At 35.7% G+C, this 13,357-nt stretch overlaps 1 pseudogene; it reads right to left on the minus strand.

Annotated features, from left to right (window-relative positions):
* Positions 1-991: 991 nt before the first annotated feature.
* RPL22P22 (ribosomal protein L22 pseudogene 22) lies at positions 992-1,591 on the minus strand (annotated as a pseudogene).

Raw genomic sequence — 13,357 nt, forward strand, 5'->3', positions numbered from 1 at the left:
CTAGGCAATACCATTCAGGACATAGGCATAGGCAAAGATTTCATGAATAAAACACCAAAAGCAATTGCAATGAAAGACAAAATTGACAAATGGGGTCTAATTAAACTAAAGAGCTTCTTCACAGCAAAAGAAACTATCATCAGAGTGAACAGGCAACCTACAGAATGGGAGAAAATTTTTGCAATCTATTTATTTGACCAATAGCTAATATCCCGAGTCTACAAAGAGCTTAAACAAATTTACAAGAAAAAAACAGACAACCCGATCAAAAAGTGGGTGAAGGATATGCTTTTGTTTTTTCAGAAGTTTTTGATTACTGATTCTGTCTCCTTATTACTGATATATCCATTCATATTTTCTATCCATTATTCAGTATTTGTGAGTTGTATGTTTCTGGGAATTTATCCATTTTATCTAAGTTATCTAACTTATTGGCATACAATTCTTCATTAAACTCTCTTATAATCCTACTTATTTTTTTCGTAGTAATGTCCCCACCTTAATTTCTTTTTTTTTTTTTTTGTAGAAACAGACACATTCATATTTGTACACATGTAGTTAATTTAGAACCTGGGACTTTTACAATCAATTCCCCAAACCCCTTTATGGAAAGTGATGGACTACACAGCAATGCTGAAGGAGCATATTTTCTCTCTCTAGGAAGAAGAGGATTAGTAGACACAATTGTGTGCATCAAGAGAAATTTGCAATAAAAAAATCAAAGTAAGACAAATGTCCCAGAAACCTGAATTTTATTGACACTGTTATTTTCCCACAGAGAATCTTAGAAAGCTGTCATATTTTCTCTTAATGAATGAGAGGAACCCACTTGTATCCCTGAATCATTCTTTGGGAAAAGCAACAGAAACAATTGACAGTCACACTTCTAAAATAAAACAGTCACTACCTTCAGTCCACACCTCCACACCCTTACCTGCCTGCCCAATGGCTGTCATTTCTGTAAAGTCACCCTCTTGTACTCTGGTGTTACCACGAGAATTGAAATTTTCAAGCAGAAAAAAAAAAAAAAATTCATGGTATAAATAAGTGACTGGTGGCCCAAAGGAAGTCCTTTGACTATGAATCCAATTTTCTGTTCAATCCACACTGCAGAGATACAAGCATAAACCACCATTTTGGTTCCCAAATTCTTTTCAAGAACTCATACAAAATATTCCAGAGAAATGAAATTTAATCCTCATCTTCCTCCTCTTCTTCATCCTGGTTAATTTGGAAGTAACGGAATTCATAACTCTCTTAGCAACTACGTGCAACCAATCACATAGATTATTCTTCTTCAAATATTTTTTGGTAAGATATTTCAAATACCTTTTGGAAAAAGGCACCTGGGATGTCACGGTGATATTTCTCTTGCTCCTTTCGATGGTCACTGCCCCTTACCAAGTTTCTCAGCTTTTCTGATCACTTTGATGCTTTCTTGCAAAAACTGCTCAAAATTGGCAGCATCCATGATTCCATCTTTTATGGGGTGGGTGCAATCAAGAGTGAATTTCAGAATCTGCTTCTTTTTTTTGCCCCCCTTCATCACAAGCTTTTTCACGGGTGCCATGGCAGTAGCGGAGGCAGAAAGTCAGATATCTCTTTAACATAATAATTTTCTTTCCTTTGGATGTATATCCAGTAGTGTGATTGCTGAGAACATACAGTGGTTTAATTTTTAGTTTTTTGGGGAACCTCCATACTGCTTTCCACAGTGTCTGTACTAATTTACATATACACAATTTACATATATATTTACATACACCAACAGTATGTAAGAATTCCCTTTATTCTTCATCCTCTCCAGAATTTATCTTAATTTCTAATTTTAGTTATGTGGTACCTCTCTTATTTCTCAGTCAATCTAGCTAAAGTTGTGTCAATTTTGTTTATCCTTGCAAAGAATCAATTTTTTCTTTCTGTCTTTCTTTCTTCTTTCTTTCTTTCTTTTTTCTTTCTTTTTTTTTTTTTTTTGAGATGGAGTCTCACTCTGGCACCCAGGATGGAGTGCTGTGGCGCGATCTCGGCTCACTGCAAGCTCCACCTCCCGGGGTTCACGCCATTCTCCTACCTCAGCCTCCTGAGTAGCTAGGACTACAGGCGCCTGCCACCACGCCCGGCTAATTTTTTTTTTGTATTTTTAGTAGAGACGGGGTTACACCGTGTTAGCCAGGATGGTCTTGATCTTCTGACCTCGTGATCCACCCACCTCTGCCTCCCAAAGTGCTGGCATTACAGGCGTGAGCCACCGCACCTGGCCCAATTTTTATTTTTATTGATTTTCTCTGTTGTTTATCTATTCTTATATTTATCTTCGTTCTCATCCATATTAATTTTTTCCATCAACCAAATTTGAGCTCGGTTTGCTTTTTTTCCAGTCCTTTATGTTGTAAAGTTAAATTATTTACTCTAGATACATTTTTTAAATAATGTAAGCATTTAAGCTATAAATTTTCCTCTTAGACCTTCTTTGACTGACTGTGTAAGTGTTGGGATGTTGTTTTAAAATTTTGTGAGTCTCAGTGTTTTTCCGATCAATTTTTAAATATTTTTTTCTTTAACCTATTTGTTTTGTAAAAAGGTGTTTCATTTCCACATACTTGTAAATTTTTTTAGTATTCCTTTTGTTATTTACTATTAGTTTCATTCCATTTTTATTAAAAATATATATTGCACGTTGGTGTTGTTTGTTTGTTTCTGAGACAGTCTTCCTCTTCACCAAGGCTGAGTGCAGAGGGGTGAACATGATTCACTGTAGCCTCATCCTCCTGTTCTCAAGTGGTTCTCCCACCTCAGCCTCCTGAGTAGCTGGGACTACAGGCATGCATCTTCATGCCCACCTAATCTATTTTCTTTTTGAAGAGATGGGATCTCACCATGTTGCCCTGACTCTTTTTAAACTCCTGGCCTCAAACAATCCTCCTGTCTCAGACTCTCAAAAGTCTGGGATTATAGGCATGAGCCTCCTTGCTCAGCCATATGTTTTTAATCTTTATTTGTACCAATTTTATGGCCTAATATATAGTCTACCCTGGTAAATGTTTCATGTACAGTTGAGAATGCTATGTATTGTGGTGCTGTTTTTTGGGTAGAGTGTCCTCTGTATTTCTTTTAGTTGCAGGTGGTTTATAGTTTTGTTCAAGTTCACAGTATTCTCACTGATTATATTGATTAATTTTATGTGTTAACTTTGCTGGGTAACTGCCCAGCACATGGTCAAATATCATTCTGAATGTTTCTATGAAGGTGAGTTCTTTTTGGATTAGATTAACATTTAAATTTGAGGATTTTGAGTAAAGCAGATTACCCTCTATAATGAGGGTGGGCCTCATATAATCAAGAGAAGCTCTCAATAAAAATAGAATAATTTATCCTGGGGAAAAAAAATCCTTCCAGTAGACTGCCTTTAGTTTCAGATTGCAATTATTTCTCAGGGTGATCAGCTAGCTACCTGGTGCCAGGTTTATTTCATTGAACTGCTTTCATCATGGAAGACAGTATTTTGTTGTTGCTAAAATATACACTTACTGCGGATATAAATTTGCCTTCCTTTTATGCACAGCATTGAGACTATGGTCATAGGATTCAGTGGTCTTGCCATGTTTTCTCCACCAGAATTATGGAGCTGGCCAACAGAACCATGAAATGGTCTTTTGAAGACTCTGTGACAGTGCAATCTAAGTGGTAAATACCATGTAGCGCTGGGGCACATTTCTTCAGAAAGTTGTGTATGATCTAAAACAGCATCCAGTATATTGTAATGCTCCTCCCATACCCAGGATTCACAGGTCCAGGAATCAACAAGTTGAAATGGGAATGGCAAAACTATTACCGCTAGTGACTCACTTGTAACAATTTTTTTTCTATAATATTACAGGTCTTAATTACAAAGGGATGGATACTTTTACTAGAAGACACAAGAATTCCATTGAATTGGAAGTTAAGATTGCTCCTCAGCCACTTTGAGCTCCTCATTACTCTGAATTGTGAAGAAGAGACTATTAATAGCCCAGACACTTCTGGAATGAAACTTTGTGTCAGTCCCCAGGTGAAAAACTACAACCAGCTGAAGTATTTTCTAAGAGCAAAGGAAATACAGTATGTATAGTTATGAGTACCAGATATGACTGCATGACAAGTTATAGAAAAGGTGATTGTAGTTGTCTTATTTTGTTTTGTTATGAATATGTGTATAAATAATTCTTTGTTTTCTTCTATGCTTTTATCATGTAACATAATATATATTTACATTATATCATGGTTTTACATATTGTTTACTTTACATCATATTATTTCAGTTATGGGATATCAAGAAGAAGAGTAAACATTTTCCAAAGATTTTGCATTCTCTTCTGAGAAAGGAGTTAGTACATTTTCAGTTATATGCGGATAGTTGTATTATATTTGGCAGGAGTATGGTCTTCTAATTTTCTTTATTAAGAGTTTAGGTATGGTGTACAGAGATGTGTATAGATGGCAGTTTGACAAGGGGAGGACTTGTAATGTTTACTTTTTTGTGTCAACGTTGTTGGGCCACAGTGCCCAGGTATTTGATCAAACATTATTCTGGATGTTTCTTTGAATGCGTTTTATGGATGAGATTAACATTTAAATCAGTAGACTTGAGTAAAGCAGATTACCCTCTATTGTGGCCGAGAATCATCAATTAATGGAAGGATTTAATTAAATGAAACAGACATCTCACAAGGAAGAAGGAATTCTGCCAGTAAACTGCCTTTGTACATGGACTACAACTTTTTCCTGGGTCACCAGTCCGCCAGACTACTCTTAATATATTAAACTTGCACCTCTGCAATCATATGACTGATTTCAGAAAGAAATCCCTTTGTATTTGCCTATCAATCTATCTATTCCTTTATTGACTATCTATCTAGAGAAATTTTATACACACATACACACACACACACACACAAACAATTGGCCTTCTATGTCTGTGGCTTCTGCATCTATTAATCCAACCAACTGTGAATCACAAATATTCAAGAAAAAAAATAATCACTAAGAAAACAATAAGAAAAATAATATGGCCAGGCGTGGTGGCTCACACCTGCAATCCTGGCACTTTGGGAGGCCGAGGCAGGTGGATCAAGAGGTCAGGAGTTGGAGACCAGCCTGACCAACATAGTGAAACACCATCTCTACTAAAAATACGAAAAATTAACTGAGCGTGGTGGCGGGCACCTGTAATCCCAGCTACTCAGGAGGCTGAGGCAGGAGAATGGCTTGAACCCAGGAGGCAGAGGTTGCAGTGAGCCAAGATCACACCTTTGCACTCCAGCCTGGGTGACAGAGTGAGACTCCGTCTCAAAAAAAAAAGAAAGAAAAAAGAAAAATAATATAAAATACAGTATAACAACTATTTACATAGCACTTACATTGTTTTAGGTATTATAAGTAATCTAGAGATTTAAAGTATATAGGAGGATGTGCATAGGTTATAGACAAATACTATGTCATGTCATACAAGGGACCTGAGCATCTGTGAAGTTTGGTATCTATGGGAGTGTATTAGTCTGTTTTCATGCTGCTGATAAAGACATAACTGAGACTGGGCAATTTACAAAGGAAAGAGGTTTAATGGAGAACTCACAGTTCCTCGTGGCTGTGGAGGCCTCATAATCATGGTGGAAGGCAAGGAGGAACAAGTCACATCTTATAGGGATGTCAGCAGGCAAAGAGACATTTTTGCGGAGAAATTCCCATTTTTAAAACCATCAGATTTTGTGAGACCCATTCACTATCATGAAAACAGCATGGGAAAGACCCGCCACTGTGAATCAGTTATCTCCCACCAGGTCCCTCCCACAACACATGGGAATTATGGGAGCTACAAGATGAGATTTGAGTGGGAACAAGGAGCCAAATCATACAAGGGGTTCCTAGAAAAAATCCCCTACAGTTACCTAGGAATGACTGTGTAGAAAGAAAAAGATAAGTCTACAGATCAATCTCCACAGAGATATCTATATCTATATGTCTCTCTATATAGATACATAGATAAAGGTATTTATATATGTATGTGTATAAGTTCGTGCTCACGCTGCTGATAAAAAACATACCCGAGACTGGGCAATTTACAAAAGAAAGGATTAATTGGATTCACAGTTCCAAGTGGCTGGGGAGGCCTCACAATCATGGCAGAAGGCAAGAAGAAGCAAGTCACATCTTATGTGGATGGTGGCAGGCAAAGAGAGAGCTTGTGCAGAGAAAATCCCATTTTTAAAACCATCAGATCTTGTGAGACTCATTCATTATCATGAGAACAACACAGGTAAGGCCATTCCCCATAATTCAATCACCTCCCACTAGGTACCTCCCGTGACATATGGAAATTGTGGGAGTTACAATTCAAGATGAGATTTGGGTGGTGACACAACCAAACCATATCATCCTGCTCCTGGCCCCTCCCAAATCTTATGTCCTTACATTTCAAAATCAATCATTTCTTCCCCACAGTCCCACAAAGTCTTGACTCATTTCAGCATTAACTCAAAAGTCCACAGTCTAACGTCTCATCTGAGACAAAGCATGTCCCTTCTGCCTATGAGCCTGTAAAATCAAAAGTAAGTTAATTACTTCCTAGGTACAATGGAGCTACAGACATTGGGTAAATACAGCTGTTTCAAATATGAGAAATTGGTCAAAACAAAGGAGCTACAGGCCTCATGCAAGTCCAAAATCCAGTGGGGCAGTCAAATCTTAAAGCTCAGAAATTATCTCCTTTGACTCCATGTCTCACATCCAGGTCTTGCTGATGCAAGAGGTGGGTTCCCATGGTTTTGGATAGCTTTGCCTCTGTGGTTTTGGTGGGTACAGCCTGCCTCCCTGAAGCTTTCACGGGCTGGTGTTGTCTGTGGCTTTTCTAGGCACATGATGCAAGTTGTCAGTGGATCTATCATTGTGGGATCTGGAGAATGGTAGCCCTTTTCTCACAGCCCCACTAGGCAGTGCCCCAGTAGGGACTCTGTGTGGGGCTCCAATCCCACATTTCCCTTCTCCAGTGCCCTAGCAGATGTTCTCCATGAGAACCCTGCCTTTGCAGCAGACTTCTGCCTGGATATCCAGGCATTTTCTGAAGTCCAGGCATTTTCATACATCCTCTGAAATCTAGGTAGAGGTCCTCTAAACCTAATTCTTGACTTCTGTGCACTGTTAGGCTTAATGCCACATGGAAACTGCCAAGGCTTGAGGCTTCCACCCTCTGAAGCTGTGGCCCGAGCTCTATGTTGGCCCCTTTCTGCCCCAACTAGAGGGGCTGTGATGCAGGGCACCAAGTCCCTAGGCTGCACACAACCCAGGGGCCCTGGGCCTGGCCCACAAAACCACTTTTTCCTCCTGGGCCTCCAGGCCTGTGATGGGATGGGCTGCCATGAAGGCCTCTGACATGCCCTGGAGACATTTTCCCCATTGTCTTGGAGATTAAAATTAAGCTCCTTGTTACTTATGCAAATTTCTGCAGCTAGCTTCAATTCCTGCTCAGAAAATGGGATTTTCCTTTCAATCACATTGTCCAGCTGCAAATTTTCCAAGCATTTATGCTTGCTTCCCTTATAAAACTGAATGCCTTTAGCAGCACCCAAGTCACATCTTGAATGCTTTGCTGCTTAGAAATTTCTTCTGCCAGATACCATAAATCATCTCCCTTAAGTTAAAAGTTCCACAATTCTCTAGGACAGGGGCAAGTGTCACCAGTCTCTTTGCTAAAACATAACAAGTCACATTTGCTCCAGTTCCCAACAAGTTCCTAATTTCCATATGAGACTACCTAAACCTGGACTTTATTGTCCATATTTCTATCAGCAATTTGGGCAAAGCTATTTAACAAGTCTCTAGGAAGTTCCAAACTTTCCCACATTTTTCTGTCTTCTGAGCCCTCTGAACTGTTGCAACCTCTGCCTGTTACCCAGTTCCAAAGTCGCTTCCACATTTTCAACAACTCCCCACTCTACTGGAACCAATTCACTGTATTAGTCTGTTTTCATGCTGCTGGTAAAGGGATAACCAAAACTAGGCAATTTACAAAAAAAAAAAAAAAAGCTTAAGCTTAATTGGACTCACAGTTCCACATGGCTAGGGAGGCCTCACAATCTGGAACAAGGCAAGAAGGAGCAAGTTACATCTTATTTGGATAGTGGCAGGCAAAGCAAGATTTTGTGCAGAGAAACTCCCATTTTTAAAACCATCAGACCTCATGAGACTCATTCACTACCACAAGAACAGTGCAGCAAAGACCTGCCCCCATAATTCAATTACCTTCCACCAGGGTCCTTTCATGACATTTGGGAAATGTGCGAATTACAATTCAAGATGAGATTTGGGTGGTGCCACACCCAAACCATATCATTATGTGTGTATGTATGTGTACAAACACATACATCTACGTAGTTAATTCTGTTTATCTAGAGAATACCATAGTGTATTATTCAGTACTAGTACACTGTTCTTTTTTTGTGGTTGTGTATCCATTATTAAGAGTGGAGTATTAAAGTTGCCAACTGCTATTTTAGAACCCCTTTTCCATTTTCAATTATGTCAATATTTGCTTCATATTTCAGAGCGCTATTGCTTGGTGCAAATATGTTCATAATCATTATATATTTTGAGAAGTTAGTCTTTTATCAATGTATAATGTTCCTCTTTGTCTCTTGTAGTAATTTTTTACTTAAAGACTATTTTGTCTCTTATTGGTGTAGCCAGTCCAACTCTCTTTTGTTCAGTATTTACATAAAATACATTTTTATTCTTTTCACTGTCAATCTGTTTGTGTTCTAGGAAAGTTCAGCATTTGTAGATTGCATATATTTGAATCATGTATTTTAATCTATTTTTCCACTTTATGCCATTTGATTGGGAAGTTTAATTTGTATGATTTTTTATTTCTATTATTTTAGATATGGGGTCTTTCTATGTTTCTCACGCTGGTTTTGAACTCCTCTCCTTTAACCATCCTCCTGCCTTGGCCTCTCAAAGCACTGAGATTAAAGTCATGAGCCTCCATGACTGGACATTCCTTTGCATTGGAGTAATTACTAATAAGGGAAAAAATAGGGTTTTTTTTCATTTTGTTAATAGGGTTTATTTTCATTTTGTTAATTTTTTAAATATATTTTATAGATTTTTCCATTGTTTCCTCCATTACTTCGTTTTGTGTTTAATGGATTCTTTGAAGTTATAAATGTTTACACCCTTTTTATTTTATTTCTTGTATTCAATATTTTATTTGGGGTTCCCATGAAGATTACATGTAGCATCCCCAAATTATAATAATCTAATTTGAATTTATACCAATTTACCTTCAGTCACATACTAATAGAACTTATAACTATACTGTTTTACTCACCTTCCCTGTTATGTTATTTGTGTTACAAGTTACATCTTTATTTATTATGTGCCTAATAGCATAGATTTATAATTATATTTTATGCATTTGTCTTTTCAAAACCATGGAAAATTTAAAGCAGAGTCTTAAAACCAAAATTACAATAATAATAGCTTTTATATATGTCTATGTATTTACATTTACAGAAATTCTTTATATTTTTATATGCCTTTGAGTTACTACATACAGTTCTTACATTTCAATCTGAAGGCATTTCTTTATATTTATATTTCTATGAGCAGATAATAGTTGTATGAAGGAATTGCCTTAGCATTTTTATAAAGATAGTCTACTGAAAATGATTCCTTCAGCTTTTGTTTATCTGTAAATGTCTTACGTCCTCCCTTATTTTTTGCAGGAGAGTCTTGACATATATAATTCCAAGTTGACAGGGTTTTTTTTTCTAAAAATTTCTTTCCGTGCATTAAACAGATCACCCCACTACTTTCTGGCCTCCAAGGTTTCTAATGAGAAATTAGTATTAAGACCATTAAATGGAGGAAAGAACAGTCTCTTCAGCAAATGGTGACAGGAAAAATGAATATGTACGTGTAGGAGAATAAACGTGAACTTTTACCTCATACTTTATAGAAAAATTAAATCAAAATAAATCAAATAACAAAACTTAAGGAATAAATCATAAAAATGTTTCAAATAAAACATAGAGTTAAATCTTCATTACCTTGGAGTTGCAATAGATTCTTAGCTATAACACCAAAAGCACAAGCTACAAAAAATAGATACATTGGACTCCATCAAAACTGAAAATTTTGTTCATCAAAGGACATTATTAAGAAAGTGAAAAGACAACTTAAGTTATGAGTCAAAAGATCTGCAAATGATACACTTGATAAAGTTTTAGTGTATAGAGTATAAAAATAAGATAACTCATTTACATTATGAGAAAATGGTTTGGATAAACATTTCTCTAAAGAAGGCATACAAATGATCAACATACACATAAAAAGATGCTTAACATAATTAGTCATTGGGGATACACAGATCAAAATTACAATGCGATGCCACTACTCACAAAATAGGATAACTATTTTCTTTAATAATGTGAATCAAGTGGAACTCTCATACATTAGTGGTGAAAATGGACAATGGTGCAGCTACTGTGGAAAACAGTTTAATGGTTTCTCAAAAAAAAAAAAAACCCAAATTATAACATGATTCAGCCATTACACCACTAGTTATATACTCAAAAGTATTGAAGAGTGACTCACACACATATGTGTATGCCAATATTTGTTGTAGTGTTATTTATGATAGCCAAATCTTGAAACAAACTAAGTGCTTTTCAAGAGATGAATGGATAAACAAAATTACACACACACGCATGCACACACACACAATCATTCAGCCATAAAATTTAATCAGTTCTTATTCATACTATGATGTGGATGAACATTAAACCATTACACTAAGTGAAACAAGACAGACATAAAAAAACTATTGTATGATTCCACTTATATGATATATATAAAACAGGCAAATTTATAAAGGGAAAATTTCATTAGCTGTTACCAGGGGTGAGAAAGAAGGGAGATCTGAAAAATTATTTTTAATGGGTACATAGTTTCTGCTTGGGAGTAATGAAAATGTTTTGCAAATAGATAGTGGTTATGATTGTACAACATTGCCAATGTGATTAATACTACTGAATCTTACATGTAAAATTGTATGATTTATGTTTTATGTATTCTATAACAATTAAAAAATATTTTCAGCTGTGAACCTTTATTGTTTCACCTTTCTTTTTTTGCTTTTTACTTAATTTCTTTTATCTCACTCTATCTCAACCTCTCTTTGTACATATACTCTTTACTGATTTTCAAATTTTTTTCACTAGGTCAGAAAAATTTTTTGCATAAAGTAAGTTGTTTGGCATTTTACAGTACAAATATAACTTTAGCAATAATAATCATTTATATAATACATAAAATACTAGAAACTCTACTAAATGCTCTCTATATATTATTCTATTTAATCTTCTATGACTATTAGGAGGCAGGTAGCATTATTATGACCAATATAGAAATGAGAAATTATAGCACAGAGAAGTTAATTCAATTTTACAAGATCACACAGCTAGTCACTGGTGGGATGATATTCAAACAGATATATTGAAGTTTCAGAGTTTCTGCTTTTTTTTTCTTCTATTGATACACAAAGGTATGTGTGTATATATATATATAAGATCTTATATATATACTATATATATAATATATATAAGATCGTGTATATATAAGATCTTTTATATATACTATATATTATATATAAGATCTTATATATACTATAGATCATATATAATATAATAAAGTATATATAGTATATATATAAGATCTTATATATACTATATCTGTACTATATATACTACATATGATATATCTATACTATATATACTATATATAGTATATATAGTATATATAGCATATCTATACTCTGTATAGTATATCTATACCATATACACTATATATACTCTGTATAGTATATCTATACCATATACACTATATATGATCTATATAGTATGTCTATACCATCTACACTATATATACTCTATATAGTATATCTATACCGTATACACTATATATACTCTATATAGTATGTCTATACCGTATACACTATATATACTCTATATAGTGTGTCTATACCATATACACTATATATACTCTATATAGTATGTCTATACCATATACACTATATATAATCTATATAGTGTGTCTATACCATATACATTATATATACTCTACATAGTATGTCTATACCATATACACTATATATACTCTATATAGTATGTCTATGCCATATACACTATATATACTCTATATAGTATATCTATACCATATACACTATATATACTCTAATAGTATATCTATACCATATACACTATATATACTATAGATTATATATAGTATATATACTATCTATTGCATATATGCTATAGATATACTATCTATAGTATATCTATAGTATATATGGTATAGATATATTTTGTATTTTTTATGCATTTGGTAGACTCTTAACCAGTGATTCCATCTGATCTTAGAATTTTCTTTGTTGGATGACATTTTATTAATGACATAATTCCACTATTTGTTATTGGTCTGTTTTAGTCCATTCTCACACTACTATGAAGAATTACCCAAGACTGGGTAATTTATTGAAAATAAGAGGTTTAATTAACTCACAGTTCTGCAGGCTTATCAGGAAGCATGACAGAGAGGCCTCAAGAAACTTACAATCACAGCAGAAGGTGAAGGAGAAGCATGCAACTTTTTCACAGGGAGGCAGCAGAGTAAGAGAGGGAGGGGGAAGTGCCACACACTTTTAAACCATATTTTATGAGCACTTACTCAGTATTATGAGAACAGCAAGGGAGAAACCCACTCCCATGATGAAGTCACCACCCACTAGGGCTCTTCCCCAAAATTTGGAATTAAAATTCCACATGAGATATGGGTAGGGACAGAGAGCCAACCATATTATTCCACCCCTGGCCCCTTCCAAATCTCATGTTCTTTTCACATGTCAAAGCACAATCATGCCTTCCCAACAGTCCTCTGAATTCTTAACTCATTCCTGCATTAAGACAAAAGTCTAAGTCCAAAGTCTTATCTGAGGCAAGGCAAGTCTCTTCCACCTATGAGCTTGTAATTTCAAAAACAAATTAGTTACTTCCAAGATACAATTGGGATACAGGCATTGGGCTAAATGTTCCCATTCCAAATTAGAGAAATTGGTGAAAACAAAGGGGATACTGGCCCCATGCAAGTCTGAAACACAGCAGGGAAGCCATCAAATTGTAAAGCTTCAAAATGATCTCCTGACTCCCTGTCTCACATCTAGGCCACACGGACTCAATGGATGGTCTCCCAAAACCTTAGGCAGCTCTGCTCCCGTGGCTCTGAAGGGTACAGCTCCCATGGCTGCTTTCACAGGCTGGCATTGAGT

The sequence above is a fragment of the Homo sapiens genome, chromosome X (assembly GCF_000001405.40).
Source record: "Homo sapiens chromosome X, GRCh38.p14 Primary Assembly".
NCBI lineage: Eukaryota > Metazoa > Chordata > Mammalia > Primates > Hominidae > Homo > Homo sapiens.